Consider the following 21,042-nt stretch of genomic DNA (forward strand, 5'->3'; position numbering starts at 1 on the left):
TGAATAACTGTGGGAAAGGGTCGGGGAACGCTAAAAAAAAAAAAAAAAAGCCCAGCGCACATCCCAGCCCACCGCAGCGCAGTCGGCTCGGCCCCCTCCCCTCCAGCCGTACCCCCCTTGGCTAATCACCCTCATTAGGAGCTTCGTCACCGGCCTAATGAAAGCAAACCGTGTGGAAATCGCCGGTAAACAGTTGGGTCTGTGCTGTAATTAATTCGGTGTCTCTTTTAATCAAACTGAAAGGGAATCGGGCAGCGGCTTGCGGAGCCGTGACATCACCCCCAAAATCGGCCAGAGCCAATCAGCGTCATCACTCCGGGGACACGTGGGCGAGTCCCCTTAAAAAAACACACACAACACAACGAAAAAAAAGAAACAACAAAAAAAAACCCAGACCCAAAGTAAAAGTGACACAAGTTCATTTTTTAAAGGAAGGGGGGGAGGAGAAGGCGCGCGCGGACCGGCAGAGAGCTGCCGCCGAGGAGCAGGGAGGCGCTGTCCACGGTGCTGACGGGCCCCCGGAGCGGCGAGGGCGCGGAGAGAGGACCTCCCCGGCCAGGTGGAGAGTCATGAGCCGCGGGCAGCCGCCGCCGCTCTCCGCGGTGCTGATGCCGCCAGGTGCGCTCCTTTCCGCCCGCTGCTAGCGCGGCCCGGGCCCGCAGCTATCTGCGGTGCTGACCTGGCCACCCTCAGCCACCACTTGCCTGGAAGAAGCGTGCGGTTTGGATTTTTAAAACGCCATTCTTTATTTAGATTCCAACATCCTCGCGTTTCTTCTGTGCCAAGGGGGCCCTCGGGCCGTCCGTCTCCCCCTTTGCTCTCCCCAACTTGGCGCGCCCTCCCTCCCATTCCTCCCTGACACTCCCACCACCCCCCCTCGGCTCGGCGGCTCGGCGCGATGCTGCAGAAGACGCACTGAGCCCTTTTGGATCTAATGCGCAGAGGAGGTTGGCCCAGAGCTCCCGGGCTCCCCCAAGGCTGAACTCCGTCCAAGGTGCCCGCAGGCTCCCTGCCCGCCTTCCCCATGCCAGCCCGCAGCTAGGGGCAGGGGCAGCGGCGGCTGGGGTTGGGGGTGGGTGGGGAGCTTTTGGGGAGGACAGGTCGCAGCTTGGCTATGGAAGGCTCCAATGGCTTTGGGATCGACTCCATTCTCTCCCACCGCGCGGGCAGCCCCGCCCTTCCCAAGGGGGACCCCTTGCTCGGGGACTGCCGTTCGCCCCTGGAGCTGAGTCCACGCTCAGAGAGCAGCAGCGACTGCTCTTCGCCAGCCTCTCCAGGAAGGGACTGTTTGGAGACGGGGACCCCACGGCCTGGCGGGGCATCCGGCCCAGGTTTGGACTCCCACCTGCAGCCCGGGCAGCTCTCAGCCCCGGCCCAGTCGCGCACCGTCACCTCCTCCTTTCTGATCAGGGACATCCTTGCCGACTGCAAACCACTCGCGGCCTGTGCACCCTACTCTAGCAGCGGGCAGCCGGCAGCCCCTGAGCCTGGGGGCCGCCTTGCGGCCAAGGCCGCGGAGGACTTTAGAGACAAGCTGGACAAAAGTGGCAGCAACGCCTCATCGGACTCTGAGTATAAAGGTAAGAAAGCAGGAGGTGAAAACTTGGGGGGATGCTATGTATCTAAAAACTGACATTTAAAAGGAATACACATGGCGGGACATGCACTCGCTCACCTGGGGGCTCCCCCAGGGCTCAGGTTGAGCAGTGGTTCTCCTCAGAACATTTCAGCCAGTCCTGTGGTTATGCCTTTGAGCAACAAAGAGTCTGGTGGAGACAGTGTGGGCAGGGGAGGGATACTGCGTGCCCGAGAGGAGATTTCCCCAAAATGCACAAAGCAAACTTTCTAAACTTCGACTGGGACCCCTGCCCTTCCAGCAGTGCTGGTGGACAGGAGCAGGTCCCAATCAGGCCAGTGGCTCTCTAGGAAGAAACCGTGCAGAAGCAATGGAAGACTGAAAGGGTTCTGCTTTATAGAGTGAAAATACAGCAGAAAAATTTCAGCTGGAGCCCTGAGAACCGTCAGAATTTTCTGCCTTTTAATCTACATTTCCAGACAGGAAGAAAAACAGGGCTTTTCCTCCCAATGGGCCCAGTGTGATCCGGGTTCTGTGAGTCATGAAAAGAGGCACTCACTTCAAAGCAGAAACCTCAGCCAGGAAGCTGCCTGGGAGCAGGTCAGGGGGCTAGTGCAGAGGGCAGTACCCTGCACCCACCCCCCAATGGCTCTCATTGAATTTGATTTTAAGTGCCTTGAGCAACCAACTCCGGGTTTTATGCAAGTTCCAGGGATTCCTGAGTAACCAGCCTTTTCTCCCGCTACACTGGGGTTGTTGCCCCTCCACTTTTCTTTTTACCTCTATGAATCTTCGTTGTTGTTTGTTCCATTTTCATCCCATCGTAACCAAGGAGATGAGATCAGGGTTAAAAGGAAAGGGAGAAGGAAGGAAGGAAGGAAGGAAGGAAGGAAGGAAGGAAGGAAGGAAGGGAAAGGGAAGAAGAAAAAAAAAGAATTCCCTAATTTTGTTTCTGACCCCCAGTCACTACCTCGACTTTAGCTGTTTTTCAAAGCCAGAGGCACAAAGTTCTTTCTAAGGGAGAAGTCAAGGGGCAGAAGGTGAAGAGGAGTATGAGGGCTTCATGGGAGACAGCCCCACGTCCCCATCTAGCAGATCACTGGGAGTGGGCAGAGGCTGTTCAGAGCTCTTTCAAGCACATAATTGATTCCCAGAAATCTTTTCAAGAGACAAAATTTCCCTGTAAGGGCAACTTCTTTATTGTCTTGCCCCCTCCCCCAACACCCCCACCCCACCCCCAGCGCCATACTTCCTGGTCCCTATTTGGACCAAGTCTTCCCAAAATTTTAGGAAGGCTCATTTAACACTCTCCTCCCAACCAAGAATTCGTTTGTGGATATGTCCTGACTCCAAACCGAAATTCATCGGTCCGACTGCACATCCCATTTTCTTGATTTCCCCCACACAAATGGCCGAGCCTCCTTCAGCCAGGCTGTGCCGACCATGCCTGGAAAGTAGGCAGGTTTAACGGAGCGGCCAGGAGGAGATCCAGAGGCATGCGGGTGTCCCCAGGCCCGGGCCCAGTGGTCCTTGCTCCTCCCCCGGGGGGCCTGCTTAGAGAGGCAAAGAAAACTTGCGCTGGAGAGAGACTGGCATGGAGAAGGGGGAGGAGGAAGGAGGGGGAAGTCAATGTAAATATATATTCATAACATCATGGTTATTATTTACCATTTGCAACAAGAACGGCCCCGCTTTAGTTAGAGCAAAGAGCACGAATCTTCCACCGCCCATGCTAATGGCTGGAACTGGAGATAGTGAGGCCCTTGCCTCCTTTTATTTATTTGCCCCCAGGAAGGATTTTGAGGACAGGTTTCGTTTAAGATAATTAGAATATCAATTTTCTTCTCCTGTCTCTGAGGATATCTGATCGGGAGGTGACGAGGGCCGGCTGTCTACATATCGCTTAAATAGGTTTGGAGCGAAGGGGGTAGAAGGTCTTGCCCAACCCCCACCCCAGGTGTTGCTGCCTTTGCCCCTAGTGAAAAAAGGAGCAGGGTCAGGCAGCGAGGCCTTGTCTGGAGCGTTTCTCAAACGTGGAGGGGACCTTTTCAGAGCTGAGAAACAGACACCCTGAGCCAGTCCGTGGAGCATTTAAGCTGGTCTACTCTCCAGCCGCCTTCCAAGCTGAGTCATTTCCTCCAAGGAGGGCATGGGGGAAGGTCAGCCTCATCCCAAGTTTCTGCTATCAAAGGCTCTTCAAACAATATTTATTTGATAATATTTAAAGAAGCCAAAACTCGGCTTTGAAGTAAGGTGGTCGGCGACACTAGCGGCTGGATCCAAGGTCCAGGGAGAACCCAAACCAGAGTTTTGTTCCCAGCAGGCAGGGTCGGTGAATGGGCCTGGAACTCGGGGACACTGAGATGTAGCCTCTAGAATCAGAGTCTGGGAAGCCAGTACCCCCTGGGCTGAGCCTATCCAAGAGGAGGCCAAGGCAGAGTGGGCACAGAACCTGCATTCAAAGGCTCCAGTCCACGCTGGAGGGGGAACAGAAGAAAAGCCCCAGTAGCTGACCCATTCTTCCTGACACCACAAACTGAATACCTCCCGACCTCCAACGCAGACCTCGTCCCTGAGAAGCGGGGGATTTTCATTAAGTAGCCCAGGCAATTTGGTCAAAAAGTAAGAGTTCTATGATATCAAGTTTGAGATTTGGATGATCGTTTCCTCAAACTTATTTAAACTATCTGTCTGCACAGACAGAACTCAAGTCCCCCTATTCCAACACATATCCTTCTCCATGCCCAAATATGGGGAGCCCACAGGGCAGGGAGAGCCTGGTGCCAGCCTGGAGGAGGCAGGTGGAAAGCCTTAGCGGGCTGCCGTTTCTCCTCTGCACTCTCCTGGCTCACCAGGCTGGATGCCAGGCCCTCCTTGCAGCGAAGCGCTGCCTTTTCAGTTGAAAAGTCTCGATCCCTAACGGCTCAATTAACCGGATTATTGTTTCCTACAGAGAGAAATCACCTTGCATTCAGCTGAACCCCGTCACTGCAAACGCCACGCACAATGAAACTCCACCATAAAAGAAAACAGAGAAAAAAGGGAGTAGGTTGGGGGAAAGCCCCAGTCTGAGCCGCCAATTTTGGGGAAGTGGTCTAGCTGGTTATATAATCGCTTTAGAGGGAGAAGGAGGGTGAGCATTGAGCTTGTTCGATTAAGTGTTTTCTGTGCAGTCAAAGCCGAACGAAAGTGTCTGGGATAAAGAAACTACCTGTGCCAGGTCTATCCTTCGACCTCAGGAGCTGGGCCCCCGGTGTAATTCTGTCCCGACTGTGGGGTGTAAACACACGATGCCACGCAGGTGTAGCAGGAGCCATCGTTAGCGGGCAATGTAATGACAACGGAACGCAGACCTGGGCAATGCGCGCTGCGCCCAAGGGGCAAGCGAGTGGCAGGGTCGCTTATTCTCCCAGTGCTCGGCGCTCGCAGACCCGGAGCCTTCCGCCCAGCGCCCTGTGTAGGTAGCGAGTGTCGGGAGAAATCATCACTACGAATTCGTTTCCATATAGGGGCAACGCCAGGCGGGGCACAATGATCTGTCCTTGAGGACAAAGAGTGATTCCGGAGAGAGCAGGTTTTTGTCCCTCCACGCAGGTTTCTCTCCCCAGACCCCAGCCTTCGGCTTCCTCCCTTCCTGTCACGGACGCAGCCGGAGAAACTGGGGCCCAGACGCGGAGCTCACTCCGCCAGAAACCCTGGGTCCCTTCCCCTACGCTGGCAGGCTGGGTCCGGTTCCATCGTCGCGGCTCCGTTTATCCCTCCAGGGAGCGCGGGCAGAGCGCCGAGCGCGGCGCAGGGACTGGAGTTCTCGCCAGCTTCGGGTTCTTTCTCCCCGGAGCTGCCCGGGGGGTCTCGGCCTCGGGCGCTCCCGCCGCCGTCCTGTTCCCCTCAGGGTTCATGTCCTGTTCCCGGGGCCCCAGAGGTCCCGTCTGAGAGCGGCCCCCGCGAGCTTGGGTGTCGCGGAACCACCGCTGTCGGAAGCCGAGGTTACACAAACGCCACGGGCAGGAGCGGGAGGGCACCGGCGGCGGCTGCGAGGCCGGGCCCTGACATGCCGCTGTGTCCGCAGTGAAGGAGGAGGGCGACCGCGAGATCTCCAGCTCCAGGGACAGTCCCCCGGTGCGCCTGAAAAAGCCACGCAAGGCGCGCACGGCCTTCACCGACCATCAGCTGGCGCAGCTGGAGCGCAGCTTCGAGCGGCAGAAGTACCTGAGCGTGCAGGACCGCATGGAGCTCGCCGCCTCGCTCAACCTCACCGACACGCAGGTCAAGACCTGGTACCAGAACCGCAGGTGAGGCCTGGCTGCGGGGGTAGAGGCAGAAAGGGAACTTCCCCTTTCCTCACAGCTCCTGGAGGGGACCAGGAGTCTACAGGTTGGTGCTAAGGGAGGGCCCCAGAGCCTCCCCCATTCTGTAAAAGTGGGAAACTGAGTCCCTAAGGGGACAAGGCCTTGCCCAAAGTCCCCACAGCGAGGGACAGAGATGAGACTAGACTTGGTGTCCAGCGTCCAGTCAGCCCTCCCCCGGATGGGTGGACAGACACATAGGCCACTGAAAATCCAAGTCCTGCCCCAGCTCAGCCGGAGTGGGGGGAGGTCTGCCTGGAGCCCCCACCTGAGCCAGCGTGGGTCTTGGAAGCCCCAGGCCCTTGGAGGGGTGACAGTCTTGATGCCCAGGAAGCCTGTGAAGAGGACGGCCAGGCAGTGGCCCTTGGGGTGTTGAAGCCTGGCCCAGACCGGGCAGCTGCCGCAGGGGCCTCAGAGTTTCTGTGAGGCTCTTCAGGCCTCCCCAGCCTTTCTGGTCCCAAAACCCGAGGGGGGAACTGGCCAAGCCCTTGTTCCTTGGGGACAGGGTGACTGGGAAGTGGGTGTTGGGGCACCGGACTTGAACTCGTTTCCTAATTTCCCTCCCGAACACACTCACCAGACGTAGATGCAAATGTACAAACACAGAGGCATCCACACACTCAACCCAAATAGCCACACACCGACACACACATCAATACAACTTGCAGTCACACACGCACGCACGCTCAGCCCCACAGTCACTCGCACGCTCTTAGCAGAGGCAGGAATGGTGCTTTTCATAAACAAGCCTCAGAACACATCGCCCCATTAATAATAAATACTGATTACTGCTCCGGGCATCAATAATTAAGGCCTGTTACAGTAATTACACAATTATGATGATGATGAATAATTCAGGGAGGGAAACAGGGCTGGTGTGGCTGAGCCCACCTTAGTGGGACCCTGGCTGGTCCGCCTAGCCTCACCTGCAGGTGAGCCTAGGGTCCAGGCCTGACTTCTCCAAACCCCAGGCCGTTGGCTGGCCAAGGCCTCTGGACTTTGGGGCCAGACAGTGCGCAGGGCTCGCAGTGCGAGCCCTGGAGGATGGCAGGTGCAGCCTGCTCCAGCCGGCAGGGCGTGCGAGCCGGGAGCGGGTCCTCTCCGGTTGCCATTTCAGGCCTGCTCGCTTCTGCTAGCTTGCAGCCCGGCCAGCCTGCAGAGGAATCAATCGCATTCCCTTCCCTGAAGAGCACCCCCCCATCCCCTCAGGCCTCTCCAGGGTGATCCTACCTTCATAAAGAGGCACGCGCAGGGAGGAGCACCCCCTACCCAGCTCCAAGGGTTCGTTCTGCGATCTCCTGGGCAGGGTAAGGCGCAGTTAGAGCCGGGCTTTGGGGTCAGACAGCAGGGCTTAAAACCCAGGCTCCTTTTTGAAAACCGGCCCAGACCTCAGTTTTCCTCTCTGTAAAGTGGGGTAAGAGCCACGGAAGGCCGGTGGAAGATAAAAGGAGAGGATGCACGTAAGGCGTGCGATGGTGCCTGGCACTCGGTTATTTATTAACAAATGAGTACGATCCCTCTTGGCCTCCCTACAGGCTCTCTGGGCCAAGCAGTGGGGAGGGGCTGGGGTCGCTGGATGCCCTAGCCCTGATCCCGCCATACGCGTTTATTTCGGCCCCCAGGACTAAATGGAAGCGACAGACGGCCGTCGGGTTGGAGCTGCTGGCGGAGGCAGGCAATTACTCAGCGCTCCAGCGGATGTTCCCGTCGCCTTATTTCTACCCGCAGAGTCTGGTTTCCAACCTGGACCCCGGCGCGGCGCTCTACCTGTACCGCGGCCCCAGCGCGCCGCCGCCTGCTCTCCAGAGACCTCTGGTGCCCCGCATCCTCATCCACGGACTCCAGGGCGCCAGCGAGCCGCCCCCGCCGCTGCCCCCCCTGGCCGGCGTCCTCCCACGCGCCGCGCAGCCTCGGTGAGGCGCCCGTCGGCTCCGGGGCCTCCTCCCGCGGGCTCGGCGTGGCCCCTTCCGCCCGCCTTTCTGAGGGCGCAGGTTCGACGCCCTTTCCCGGGAGGGGGCCCTGCCCGGCCCTCCCTGGCGCCCCAGCCCAGTGCCCCCCGAAGGGCCAAATGCCAAGTCCACTGAGGCCCGGACCCCGGACTGCGTCTCCCCAGCCCCCCTCGGCGTCCTCTCTCGCGGCCGCTCTGTCCGGGAGCCATCCCCACCCGCCGGGTGTACATACGCGTCTCTGCCACTCCCCACCCCCAGCCTCTGCCGGCTCCCCTAGGCAACCCCTTTCTCCCCAGGAGCGGGTGCGGCTGATTCCCAGGCTTCGCTCTCTCCCACGCCCCTTCTACGCTCCAGGTGGAGAACAGCCCCTCTCCCCGCGCCCCCGCCAGGGAGAGAAGGGGAGTGCGGAGCCCCGTCTCCCTACCCCTCGAGCACCTGGGCCAGCGGCTGAGCTGTACATACCGTGTGCAAAGTGTATATGAAGTTATTTATTCGTGACCCATGAGCCCGTGACCGTGTCCGTGGATTAGTGAGTCTGTGGCCTGTGCCCTCCCCACTCCCAGGCGGGGCAGGAAGGGGCCAAGGGGGCTTGCCCACCCACCCCGACCCCAGCCCCCAGCCTCAGCCCCGGTCCGGGGGCAGCCAGGCCTCTCGGGTTCTCTCTTTTTTAAATGTCGAAATAAACTTCTTACAAATGACCAGGCGCCTGTCCGCGCTCGCGTCGCTGGGTCCGCACTCAACCCCTCTCCCATCCCTCTCCTGGGGACTCGGTTTCCTTCCATCCTCAATAACGAAACATTTTTGTCCCCCTTCTCTTCCCCGGTGCTGTGGACATGCGCGGGGGCCCCGACGGGACTCGCTGGGGCCCGGGTCTCCCCTCCCTGGCCTCAGTCTTCCCATCTCTACAGCGAGGCCAGCTCGTTGTTCCCCTCCTCCTCCTCTGTCTCCATCTGGTTCCTAGCGGCTCCCAGACGGTCCCGAGGGCCGGGGCGGGGGTCCGTGCCGGAACAGGCGGGGGTCAGCGCGGGGCCTCGGTCGGCTGCGGGCCGGGCTGCGGGGCCCTCGCCGAGCCGACTCATCTGGCCGCGACAAGGGCCCCGGCAGCTGGTGACCGGCCCGCCGGGCGCGGGCCGACAGATGGGCTCCGAGGCTGCTCCCCCCATCACTCCCACCCTCCGCCCAGCGTCCGGCCGCGCTCGGGCTCCCGACGCTCGCGGGCGCCAAGGCGGCCCGGGCCTCCCGGCCTCCCGCACCAGGCAGGACTCCGCGCGCCTTCGCTGCGAACCAGACGCCACATCGGGTAAACCCCCACTCCCACATCTTCTCACCTCCCCTTTACCCCGGGAGGAGGTTGGAAATGAGACCCAGAGGGGAGCCAAATCCCAGCGTCTGCCCCATCTCTTCTGGCTGCCCCAGACCGCAGCTCTAGCATCTCAGGGGAGAGGGGTTTAAGTCCCGAGTCAGACTCGAGGCTTCCAGTTCACGTCCAAAGGGCCACGGTCACCTGAGACTGCTCCCTCTCTGGGGAGGTGGGCGCAGGTGCTCCCTTCCCACACACCACCTGCAGCTCGCTAACCCTCAGCGCTGGGAAGTTTTGGGGGCCGGCAAGCCGTGGCCCCTCTAGTTTGGGGGCAGGGTTTCTCTGAAGACGGGGGCTGTGTTCAGACTATAACCCCTCTCGAAAACCATACCCACAGCCAGGTCCGCTACTGTTTCCTCCCTGCCCCGAAACACCCTCGCACAGCAGCTTTCTTTCCTGGGATGGCGAGGGTATTATTCTAATTTTGCAAAATGCACAGCAGCTAATTAAGTCAAGGAGCCCCTCGGCTTTCGAGTTCTTTTGCATGTGAATGGGGGTTGGTAAATCCCCAGCTCTGGCTCTGGTGGGGGGTGAGGAGAGACTGTCCCCAACTCAGGGTTAATGAAGTGGGAAAGGAGTCTCTCATAGCCTCCTGCAAACAAAACCCCCCATGCAACAAACCCTGCCCAAATCCTACATGGATTGACTTAAACCCAGGGGATAAGTGCTTTAAATTAATCTCATTGAATAAGAATGAGACCAAACAAAACTCTTTAAAATCATATTAAAAATCTATCAAAGGACAACTTGCACTGGTGTGCTTTTCATTTTGTGAAAGTGAAGGAGATAGACCGTAGCAACCACCCTCACATTTACACAGTGGCAGCGCAAACCACAGACACATTCTCAACTATGTAATTGTCCTTGTACCTCAGAGGCGATTTCATATCCTACATTAATGAAGAACAAGGCTTCCCTACAAGTTTATAATTAGAATATTTTAAATTGTCCTGCACATCCCATCTGTAATAATAACTTCACAACCTTTGCAGTGAGGTGGGCTCCTGCCTTCCATCCACTTAGAAGGCTAAATTGGTTTCTGTTCCCAACCCTGAGGTTGGGCGAGCTCTCGTGTAAGAAAAAAAGAATGAATGTGGGACCCCAACAGGCCTGACAATAGGAGAGGGCTGAGAAGCCATCTTCCCCCGCTCTGCCACTGACCCATCCCCCCTCATAAACGCCGACTCAACAGGGAGGGGGCAACAAAGTTGAAAAGAAGTTTAGAGCTCCCTGCTGGCCCTCGGTCGCAAGGGAAATTGAGGACTGGGGCAAGTTGAGAACCTGAGCTGATTTTCAGGGTGCCCCACTCCCCCCACAGCGACAGGCCTGGCTCTGGATTCTTCCTAGTGTGGAGCAGATTAAGAGATAATGTCTAATGATCAAGGGGGAGGTTTAACAAGACCAGTTAAGAAGCCTTTTCAAGCAGGGCAACTTCTCCCGTGGAAAAGCCTCCAACTTGCGTCTCTACAAAGCAACGCCCGGATTTTAATGGCTTCCACTGACTGTGGCCTGAAGGGCTAAGCGGGGAGGCCCCTGGCAGTTTGGGAGATACCTGCTCCGAAAGGTCTCATTTACTCCCCTCTTCCCTAAAGTTCTCCTCCCTTCACCCCAGGGGGAAAAGAAAAAAATCAAAATAACCCACTGGGCTTCGTTAAAAAAAAAAAAAAAGTCCTTTACTGAGATTTGGTTGGTTCGTTGCTTCTCTAGAGTGCAAGGGGCTGTCTGCACATCAGCACGGACTTCATCTCTCAGCAAGGGGTCTCTGCCCTTCAGTGCGTGAGAATGAGGCCCGTCAACTGCTAAGGCTGTGGCAAACATGAGGATGTTTTGGTTTCCAAAAAAACATTCTACAAGCCCACTCGGGGGAAACGCTTTTAGGCTGCAACATTCTATTAAATGTCCAAATTCTGTGTGACTCTAAATATGGGAACCAGGCTTATGATATAGAGACATGAGTAAGTTTGGGAAATTTTAAAAAGAGGCATGATTAAACATACACAAAAATTAGAATATGTACAGTGGAATTAGGCTAAAGCTTTGCCTAATTGGTGCCTGAAATGTATAATCTGTCAAGAGCCATAATAGAAGAGAAAGAGATTTATTTTAAGGTTATTTAAATTTAAACAATATTAACCTTAAATCTGCTAAATCCATGTTTCTTTATTAACTGGGGTAATATAGTGATTCTACTTAGAAACAGACCCACATAGCATCTATGGCAAGAAACCCTCACCATAAGAGTTAGCAGATTAAGTGTGTAAGTTTTGATCTTGGAATTATCGTCACTCACACGTTGCATGATTCTAGCACTTCTCTTTCCCCCCAGGGATGCCGAACTCTGCCAATTCGCCCTTTAGTGGAATGAGTACTGGGGGAGAAAAAGTAAGGTTTCTCTTTGATCATCCCCAATCACTGGCATTAATCCTGTTTTTCACACAGCTGGGTTTTGTCTATAAAGTTTGATCCCTCCTTTTCTCATCCAAATCATGTGAACCATTACACATCGAAATAAAAGAAAGGTGGCAGACTTGCCCAACGCCAGGCTGACATGTGCTGCAGGGTTGTTGTTTTTTAATTATTATTGTTAGAAACGTCACCCACAGTCCCTGTTAATTTGTATGTGACAGCCAACTCTGAGAAGGTCCTATTTTTCCACCTGCAGAGGATCCAGTCTCACTAGGCTCCTCCTTGCCCTCACACTGGAGTCTCCGCCAGTGTGGGTGCCCACTGACATTCACCTGTGTCTAGAACGGAGGCAAGGATGCTGACCCCCCGTGGTCCCTGCAGGAAGGCCCACCTTGCCAACTCTCACCACCCTCTCGTGGCCACTCAGACCTTCCAAGGATCTGGGGGGATCTACTGAAGTGGTGCCTCAACACTGGTCCTGGGGAGACCACAGAGGGCGGCACAGTCACTGCAGAGGAGAAGGAAACTGAGAAGGCAAGACACAGTGGAGAGGACAGGAGCGGTGCCCACAGGTGTGGAGGCCTCCAACCCTTTCTCTTCTGGACCCCTCTGCAAGTGCCCAAATCTTACATTTATTGGGAAATCAATATGCTCCAGGGGGCCTCTTTCAAACCTCCCAGAAAACACAATGCAGGGGCAGGGCGGGGTGGGTCGGGGGCGGGGGGCGGGCAGCTGTGGCCTGGGTCACAATACAAAGACCCCCAGACCTTTCTTGAAGACAAGACAGGATTCGATAGGGAAAAAAAGCTTGGGATACTGGTGCCTTTTGACTTCAAAGGCAAATAATAAAAAGCCAACAGTAAATCAATTAGCCCTGAGAGAGTGAGTTTTCAGTGGACATGAAAGAGGGAGCAATGCATGTAAATGCAACCTCGTGTTTCCAGAAGAAAATAAGAGGGACCACGAGCCTGAGAACACATTCGTATTTTTTGACCCAGACCAAAAACTTTTGGTCCTTTTTAACGGTACATTCCTACATTAAGAAAATAATTAGTGATAAATATATTCTCTTTTTGTACAAATTCAATTCCAGTTTTTAACACCCTAATTCACAAAATTCATGCCAATGTATGCGCTGATAGGCTGAAGCCAAGCTGTGAAACTTCAGAACACAGTTAAGGGCAGCAATCAAGCCCGTTCCAGGCTGACGCGCAGGGCGTTCTTACATCACATCCCGGGGTGCCAGCTCAACCCCGGCACGTCAGCACCTGGGTGAAGGGAGTGCCGGGCACTGATGGGATCAATACAAGACACAGACCCCTTCCGTCGGGAGCTGGCTAGTCTCTACAGTGCCCCACACCACTGATTTCTATCAGGCTCCAGGGCCTCCCATGGAGGAGAAGGGCTGTGGCCCCTCTGATTCTTGGGGACGTGGTATTCAGGCAAAGGCGCAGTTATTTTTCACAAGCCTCCTCTGACAAGAACTGGACATCAATCCACTGCCACCCGGGGCTTCCAGGTTCCACTCGAAGACCCAGAGAGATTTTAAACTTTCTGGGAAGTCTTGCTGTCCCGCTGTACACCTTTTTGGGTTTTTCTCCATTTTAATGTTTTCCCACGGCCAAAGCAGGGTGTCGGCTGCAGACTGTGCTGCAGGGGCCGGCCACCAGGCTCTCCAGGTGCGTTTTGCTTTTTGACCTTGGCGATGTCGGCCTCCATGCCGCTTGAGTATTCCGAACGTAGGATTTCAGCGAGGCTGTGTTTACTCTGGGTCTTCTTATGAAGGTCAGGCCTGAAGAACAGTAACAGCAGAGAGGGAAAAGAAACTTTATTATTTTTCTTTCCCATTTGGAAAGAGGCTGATAGCAGCTGGTTCTGAGACTGTGAAGCTGACATTTTTGTATTAACAGAAGTACAATCCCTTCAATAGTACTTGTTTTGATATTCGATGCACCAGAAGATTAGATACGGCGCTGACAGATTTTCATAACAGCGGCAAAATATCATGGCATTTTTAAAAGTGAGGCTTTGTTCTGTGTTGTTTTCATGGGGAAAAAAAGAACTATACACCCTCATGCTCTGATGGCAAATGAGGTGTATGATACAGCGGTTTGCCAAAGGACAGGGAAAAACCCACCGTCACACTCAACAACATGAAGCAGTGAAAGCTCACGGCAGCTTCCCAGTAACCCCTAAGCAGCTTAAAGCAACTGGCCTCCTCATGGGCTCCTGAGGGCTTCAGGACTCAGCCCTGCGGGAGCAGAGTCCAGCAAGTTCCACGCAGCCCTCCAGGGTTCCACAGTGAAGGCTGGGATGACAGCCAGATAGCTCTTTATGAACGGAAAAAACTCTTAAACATATTTCTGACCCTACAAAACCCAAACCCAGGGCACAGCCTGGTCAATGTCTGCATCTAGGATTAGACCAGCAGCTTTCTGCAGCCCACACAAACCCGGGTGTTAGAGGGAGGTCTCTCCCTACCCTAAGTCACTCAGAAAATGCCAAAGGTTGAAAATCAATTTCCGATGTCGAATCCTGATAACTGTTCTGAAAAGATGGCAATTTTACCATTTGATCGGAAGATCAGAGGAGGAAATTTGTAGATGTTCAATCATACATAAGAAGAATGATTATGAAAACTGAAGAGTAAAACAATGTTTCTTAAGACAGGATTTTAACCAAAGCAACAACAATAAAACAATTACCAATAAATCCACACTTCCTTGCTGGCAACTCCTTCAATACCAAAACGGCAATGTCTTAGGATACTATAGTGTCATGGAGTTCTCACAAAGACATATGTTACGTTCTGCTACTACATTTAGAGCATTTTCTTTGCTGTAATCAGAGAATAAACTGAACTGAAACTGTGGTCAAAATAAATGTAACAATGCCTTTAAAACCCAAGAATTAGAAATAAGACTAATAGTGTGTTGTTAACCTGACTGTGAAAGCTTGTAGAAACCCATTATAAACGAGCTAAAGCAATAATACCTGTTTCTAATCACACTCCAGAGGACAGGGTGACAGTCATACAATGGTGTTTTCTATTGCAACATACAGGAAGACACATTCAAGCCAACCTCTGCAGGAAAAGAAGATCTGAAACAAGGGGACAATGAACAGATAACATTTAAAGGCCAGGAGTTTATGGGGTGAGCACATCAGGGCAGGATGTAGTGAGAAGATTAGAAGTATACAGGGAAGACTTCCTGGGGTCTGTGGGAAATGATTCACATACACAATCTCTTACAATCCTCGCTCAACAAGGTGGGTACGGTTATTATCCTCATTTACAGACAAGGACACAAAGACTCAAGGAGGGTAACCTGCCCCAGGACCACATGGCTGGTAAGTGGAGAAGCCAAGAGGCAAACTCAGGGCAGAGAACGATTTGCCGGGTCAGCGGGGGCAGGACTCAGCTGGACCAAGGGTGGAAAATGGTGAGATGTGATGGGAGGGGTCCTCTGTGGTCTCCTAAGGACTACTTCAGCAGGACAGTGGGGCAGGAGCCAGGCAAGTGAGTAGGGAGTGGTGAGGGGAGACAGCAGAGCTGCAGGGTGGAGGAGGGAGAAGCCAGGGTTGGAACTTGACTATCACTCATCAGCTGAGGACACAGAATGAGTGACTCAGGCTCTGTGCCTCAGTTTCCTCACTGAGAATGGCACTCAGGTGTGAGGATTAGAAAAAATCAAGACATATAAGGGGGTAGCTGGTGGTTGGCATGTGGATCGCAGTCACAGTTAAACATTAGGAAACTGAGGTCTGGAGATGCCACGCACCTCCCCCAGAGCCACACAGGAGCCAGGACTGGTGCTACGGCCCCTGACAGCTGGGCTGGGGCTCTTCTGAGAGCATCCACCACTTCCCTAAGAGCAGCGAGTCTCATCATGGGTCACCCGCCCAGTGCGGACCATGTGCACCAGTGTCCCTGGAGGAGGTCCAAGCTGCTGGGGGCTGACCTGTGGTTGGGAAGTGGCGGGAGACAGGGCCTGCGGTTGGGCGCACTCAACTTGTTCCAAACTGAAGGCTGCCAGTTCCTGTGCCTGTAGTTTATTTTTAGTCAGGTTATGTGACAGAGTGAAAAGGGTCTGACAGGAAGGAATGCTTTTTCTTCCCTCTTGTTTGAAGCCAGGTTCACAATGTGTATAATTTTAAATGTAACAACCTAAGTTTCAAAATATGCAAAATTTCAGTCAAAATATGCTCCCCAGCATAAGCTCCAGCACTTCAACGATGGCTCCTGCTACCGCTAAGGCAAAATAAAGAACCAGCATCTTACTGGAGTGACTGATACACTAATTGCCTACAGAAGCGGTGCGGGCTGCGGGAGCATCTTCCAGGCACCAGCGCTCAGGCAGTGCGCCCGTGCTCCCAGGCTGCCATCCACCCAACAGAGCAGAAGCCCACACCCACAAATGCAGCCTACACAACAGGCAGACACCCAGACACCACCGGGGCCACTTCTACAGCTCCTCCAGACCTGTCCCTTCACAAACACCGTGGGTCTGGGGTGGAGGAAGGCAACCACTGGTGCGTACATTGCGCCACTGAATAGGAACAGGAGGGCCCACGTGGTGGAAGAGGACGCCGTTCGAAAGCACCTTTTGGAGATGGGTCCTACGTGCCTTCAGTTATCATCACCACCTTTCCTGGCTATTTCATCATGTTAGTCAATGTCCTTTTGACCTGGGATGCAAAGCCAGCAGTCCACTCACTCAGAGGTTCCGGTGGTCAGCAAGCAGGCAGAGGGTGGCATTTTCTAGCCCAGACCTCTTCCTTAGGTGGGAGAAGCTCAGGCCAACCCTGCAGGGGTTTCACCTGCTGTCATGACAGCCACCTCAACAAAACCCATTCATCCCTTGGCCAGCTCCCTGTCTCCTTTTCCTTTGTTCCAAGGCCCAATGCTGAAAAGGCGAAGTACAGATGGGAAGATGAAATGCTCTAAACCCAAGCATGCGATGGGCACTCAATTTCTCCTTCTGCCAAGCTGCAGTGCTCCCAGGAACCTGCCAACTTTCTCGCCCTCCTTGCCCTCCAAATACCCGCACCCCTCTCCAATGGCCTTCCTGAGCATCCACCATAGTAATCCTGTAGTTACCAAGCAACAGATCAGTTTATCTAACCACAGGGAACTCCCTTGTAGTGAAGGCTGAATAAACCCCCCCTCAGTTACCAGGCTGGATTACTCAGCAAGACAGGCAGATGCCACTTGCACCACCAATAAGGTGAAATCACAGCCTAATTAGTAAATCAATATACCCCGTTACAATGACCACTGGAGAAGAGAGATCGCAGGGCCTTCTCCCAACTTTATCATTACATTCTCACAATGATCTTCCTAGGTAAAAACCCATTCTAATTCAGGCTTTTGCTAATGGCACTCTTTTATAGGACAGAAGTTTAAATTTTATTTATGTACCGTTAAGGCTATCAATAGTTTCTTCCATGTTTTATGGCTTTAGGGTCATGTTTGGGAAAGTCTTCATTCTAGGATTTCAAAAATATTAAAGTATATTTTCATCTAGCTTGCTACTGCTTTAATTCCATCTAAGTTTTATTTTGATTAATAGAAAAATGAACTGTTTCTTCCTAAGAGTTATCCAGTTATCCACAACGGTCACTGAACAGTAACTCTTTTCCCCAAGGTCTTGAAACGCTCCTCTAGAGCACTTCCTGCAGGCTCTGTGTGAAAAGCAGTGATGACCACAATGGCGCCCTTCATGGGCTCTACAAATAGATGAAAACATTGAAGCGAATACCAATTACATGGGTTGTTAATGGATTTAAATGTAAAACAGGTAAAATCAAAGCCATCCAAACCGACTACATGACATAGGCATTTAACTTACTCACTTTTCCAACCACCGCCTGAAACAGGTACTACTAGTATCCCCACTTCCTGGTAAGGAAACTGAGGCACAGAGAGATTAGGTCATTTGTCCAGGGCCAAAAATCAGTAATGCAAGAGCTGGAATTTGAACTCAGGAAATCTGACTTCACAGAGTTTAACCATAGCAGTCTGTCACCATGCTACAGTTTTCAAAACAAGGGGCAAGTTCCTGGCATAAAATGTTTTTAATATACATAAATCTGTATGCCTGTATGTATACGTGCAAAGTCTGAAGGATATAGGAAATGTATCAGGGTTAACCTGAATGTAGGCTTATGGTTAATTTTTGAGCTTTTCCCTATGTCCTGTAGTTTTACAATGAGCATGCATTATTTTTATAATTAGAAAATAACAGTATATTCACTCTAAGGGGAAACAAAAGCAAATGGTAGAATTTTGTCCTATAGTGAAATGCCAGAGTATTTTAATTTCTACTCATCAGAAACCTGTCTGCCTTTTGGCTTTGAGTTGGTTTGATTTTGCGAGGGTGTAGTACAATTAAAACATAGACAGACAGACAGACAGGGGTTCTTCAGAATGAGGACTAGTCAAGTGCACTCCTCTAATCTGAACGAGGCTGCTTATAAGCACATGTTCCAGGGCCACGGCTAGGCCCTGAAGGTCTCTGCTGACGACGCAAGTCCCCCACATGGGAAGAAAAGCCTGGGCTCTCAGTGAACGCAGGAGACCGTGAGGACTTCAGGTGGCCCGGGACTGACTATAAGTCTCTACACTTGTGCCTGACTCTATGGAGGACAAAAAGGCAGCAATGTCTGGGTAGGGTTTTGGTGGCTCTCAGGTCACAGTGAGGGTAACAGGCAACTCCAGGGGAATGTGACAAGCGGGCCCTCCGTATGCTTGTACACAGAGGAGCTGAGGGAAAGAATAAGCTGGTGTGGGATGTCATGACAACTTGACCTTGGCATGGGCCAACCCAAGGAGGATGCTACCCTACCTTTTATGGTCAGTGAGGAAAAGGAACTGTATCTAGACTCTTTCAACCTCTGGGTTCTGTTCTGGTAGAGAAGTATGCTGGCAGACCAGCTGTTTTAGGGATGCCTTCTTTGTGATTTCTTAGGATCCAATCAAGTCTAGCTTTTGTAAAACTACCAGAGCCCCAGAAGACACTCGGCTCCAGTTGAGTCCTGCTGTGGCAGTGGGAATCATGGGAATCACAGCAGCATTCCTAGGAGGGGTTCTGTGGACACAGAGGCTGGTGAAAAGTGGACTTCAGCTTTGTGCCAAAGATCAAGATCTAGTGAAGCTCAGAACTCCGAGCCCTGGGCCAAGGACAGGCACAGTGGCAGGCAGCACAGACCACAACTGAGAAAAACCGCGGATGGCCCGGCACACTTGCTGCCTGGAAGGCCATGCACATGATGGGAAAGAGGAGAGATCATATTTAGATATGGCCGATGTTTGAAAATGAAGGGCTTCACCAGAGCCCCAGAAATGGATGGGAACTTTGAGACTATTTAGCCCAGGTGACCAAAACTCTTAGGAAGTTCTGTCAGAACATAAGCAGGAACTTCAGATGGCAGGTGGCAGTGCTGGGGACGGGCAGAGGACCAGAATTTGATGACCTTGGTTGGAATCCCAGTTCTGCCACTCGCCTAGCTGATGACCTTGTAGAGTCACAGCAGCTTTCTCCAAGCTTCGTTTCCCGGTACATCAGAAAGGACCTATGCACAGGCACATGGCCAGTATGAAGGTAAAACAGCCTACAGTGCGTTAGAGAGCTCGGTACATTTTAATTCTGTGAAAGCCTTATGAATTACTGTTAAGATGGAGAATACAGGGTGAACATGGCAGCAGTGAGTTGTGCTTGGAACTGTTATGATTACACACTGAAAATACTGACTGAGAAGGACCAGCTTGAGGCAGAATCCCAGCCCCACACCCCAGAGCGCAGCCCTCTGGGCCTGTCCTGTTTGACACTGTGGGTGAACTGGATGAAATCATGAGGCATGTCTACCACATCTGCAGGAACAGCTAATACACTGGCTGACAAAATAACAACAGTCTAGGAGACCAAAGGGATGGGCCTACGCTGGCAAGGTGAGCTTGAACTGGGACAGATGTCAGGTCTTGCTGTTAGAAGGTAGGGTGGCATAACTGTCACATATGCAAATGGACAGGGATTCAGTTGGCAAGTTTCAACCTGAAACCAGAGGTCTGGGTTCGAATCGCGGCTCTGCCCAGTGGACAGTGGTGCCATCATGGGCAGTTTCCTCCTCTGTAAAACAGGGATAACATCATGATTGAAGTGAGGACCACAATGGCCATCCATCATGGGGGCCAGTGCCTGGCCACTGCTGAGCATCCATCAGTGGAGCCGCCATCCCTGCCATTATCATCCCCTGCACTAACAGACGTGATTGCCCCATACTTCTTGCTGGGCAGTTTCCATTGTAAGTCTGGATACTTTCACGAACCAGACTTTGAAAAGAACCTGGGCAGATAGGATGGGTGGAGCCGAGCCATCCAGAGGACAGGCTGCAACAGTACAGACCAAAATGCAGCTGGGCCTTCGTACAGCCTGAGACAGGCACACCAGAAACAAGCCCCTCTGAGCAGGGGTCCTGGCACAACCTCATACAGGCTGTAGAACTGATTCTGGAAGTTCGGCCAAGGTACTTATTTCTCTAAGTCCCACGTTATTCACTTACAACGATTAATGAGCTAACACTCTATTCAGCACACAGCCTGTTAGGAAAGTACTCAGTAAATGCTGACTAGTGTTATTATTAACAGCACGAAAAAGAGAAAAGGGGAGGAGACAGGAGTCATCCTCAGATATGTGGCATATTGTCATGTGAACTAAGGCCTGGTCTGATCAATAACATCACTTCTATGTTTGCAAATCATGTACACACAGCGTTTGAATCTCACAGAGGCCAAACAATGGAAATAAGACCAAAGGGTGGAAAATGAAAGTAGTGAATTCTGGCTCATTCTCAGAAGCTCTAATGGCAAGCCAGGTCCATGAATGGACAGCCCTGGGGGCTGCAAGGCACTGGGACGCCAGGGGTGCTGAAGCACAGGCCACAGCAACCATGGGAAGTGCAGTGGGACCCACAGGACCAGGTTGGGCCAGGCTGGGCAGACTCAGGGAAGACTCTATGTAGTTTCCATCTTTTATTTACAGATCAAAGAGAGGAAGTGAGACAGGGCAGACAGCTGTTTATCAAACACCCACTCTGAGATCAGCACTGAGCTAAGGCTGCACATTCCTTACCCTTCCCCACACCCTACACAACAACCCTACAGCACCTCCATTTTACAGCTAAGCTGCTGAGTTGGAATCAAACTCAGGAATGTTGGCTTCAAAACCCACGCTCCTAGCACTGTACCGTTCTGCTTCCAGACCTAGAGGAAACTGGAAAAAAAGTTAGATCCAAATCTTGCTTATAATCATCTCTTCTCAAAGTTGTTCCAATGATTTCCCCAAAGAATAGAAAACATCTACGACCCACTCTTGGAAGTTTGGCCAAGGTACTCATCTCTCTAAG

At 52.8% G+C, this 21,042-nt stretch overlaps 2 protein-coding genes across 12 annotated transcripts in view, besides 2 other annotated features; one reads left to right on the plus strand and one right to left on the minus strand.

Annotated features, from left to right (window-relative positions):
* Window positions 1–922: 922 nt before the first annotated feature.
* BARHL1 (BarH like homeobox 1) lies at window positions 923–8,569 on the plus strand. The gene is made up of 3 exons (NM_020064.4): window positions 923–1,580; window positions 5,646–5,868; window positions 7,545–8,569. The coding sequence occupies exons 1-3, from the start codon at window positions 1,115–1,117 to the stop codon at window positions 7,837–7,839; spliced, it is 984 nt and encodes a 327-aa protein (NP_064448.1). The 5' UTR covers window positions 923–1,114; the 3' UTR covers window positions 7,840–8,569.
* Window positions 5,289–6,141: an enhancer, noted in NCBI's record as "H3K27ac-H3K4me1 hESC enhancer chr9:135462359-135463211 (GRCh37/hg19 assembly coordinates)". NCBI's record gives its function as "activates a minimal SCP1, AML or CMV promoter by ChIP-STARR-seq in naive H9 embryonic stem cells {active_cell/tissue: H9 hESC(naive)}" and the evidence as "EXISTENCE:reporter gene assay evidence [ECO:0000049][PMID:30033119]".
* Window positions 10,751–11,252: an enhancer, noted in NCBI's record as "NANOG hESC enhancer chr9:135467821-135468322 (GRCh37/hg19 assembly coordinates)". NCBI's record gives its function as "activates a minimal SCP1, AML or CMV promoter by ChIP-STARR-seq in naive H9 embryonic stem cells {active_cell/tissue: H9 hESC(naive)}" and the evidence as "EXISTENCE:reporter gene assay evidence [ECO:0000049][PMID:30033119]".
* The window catches only part of DDX31 (DEAD-box helicase 31), a 76,987-nt gene continuing 67,258 nt past the window's right edge, over window positions 11,314–21,042 (minus strand). For 8 of the 11 annotated variants that reach the window (NR_136309.2, NM_001322340.2, NM_022779.9 and 5 more), the window contains one exon: window positions 11,314–13,429. Coding sequence is in view for 9 of the 11 variants with exons in the window: in NM_001322340.2 (NP_001309269.2) it covers window positions 13,183–13,429 (247 nt within the window). In the remaining 2 variants the exon portion in view is untranslated. Of the gene's footprint in view, window positions 13,430–13,459; window positions 14,740–21,042 lie in introns of those variants that run through there. The other 3 variants (XM_011518922.4, XM_047423734.1, XM_011518921.4) reach the window with 3 other exon arrangements.

This window comes from Homo sapiens, chromosome 9, assembly GCF_000001405.40.
Source record: "Homo sapiens chromosome 9, GRCh38.p14 Primary Assembly".
NCBI classification, from domain to species: domain Eukaryota; kingdom Metazoa; phylum Chordata; class Mammalia; order Primates; family Hominidae; genus Homo; species Homo sapiens.

Bases quoted from the DNA above. Each gene is read 5' to 3' on its own strand.
- BARHL1 (NM_020064.4), top strand. From the start codon at position 1,115: ATGGAAGGCTCCAATGGCTTTGGGATCGACTCCATTCTCTCCCACCGC. The intron at 1,581-5,645 runs GTAAGAAAGCAG...CTGTGTCCGCAG, and splicing joins ATCGGACTCTGAGTATAAAG to TGAAGGAGGAGGGCGACCGC. The intron at 5,869-7,544 runs GTGAGGCCTGGC...TTCGGCCCCCAG, and splicing joins ACCTGGTACCAGAACCGCAG to GACTAAATGGAAGCGACAGA.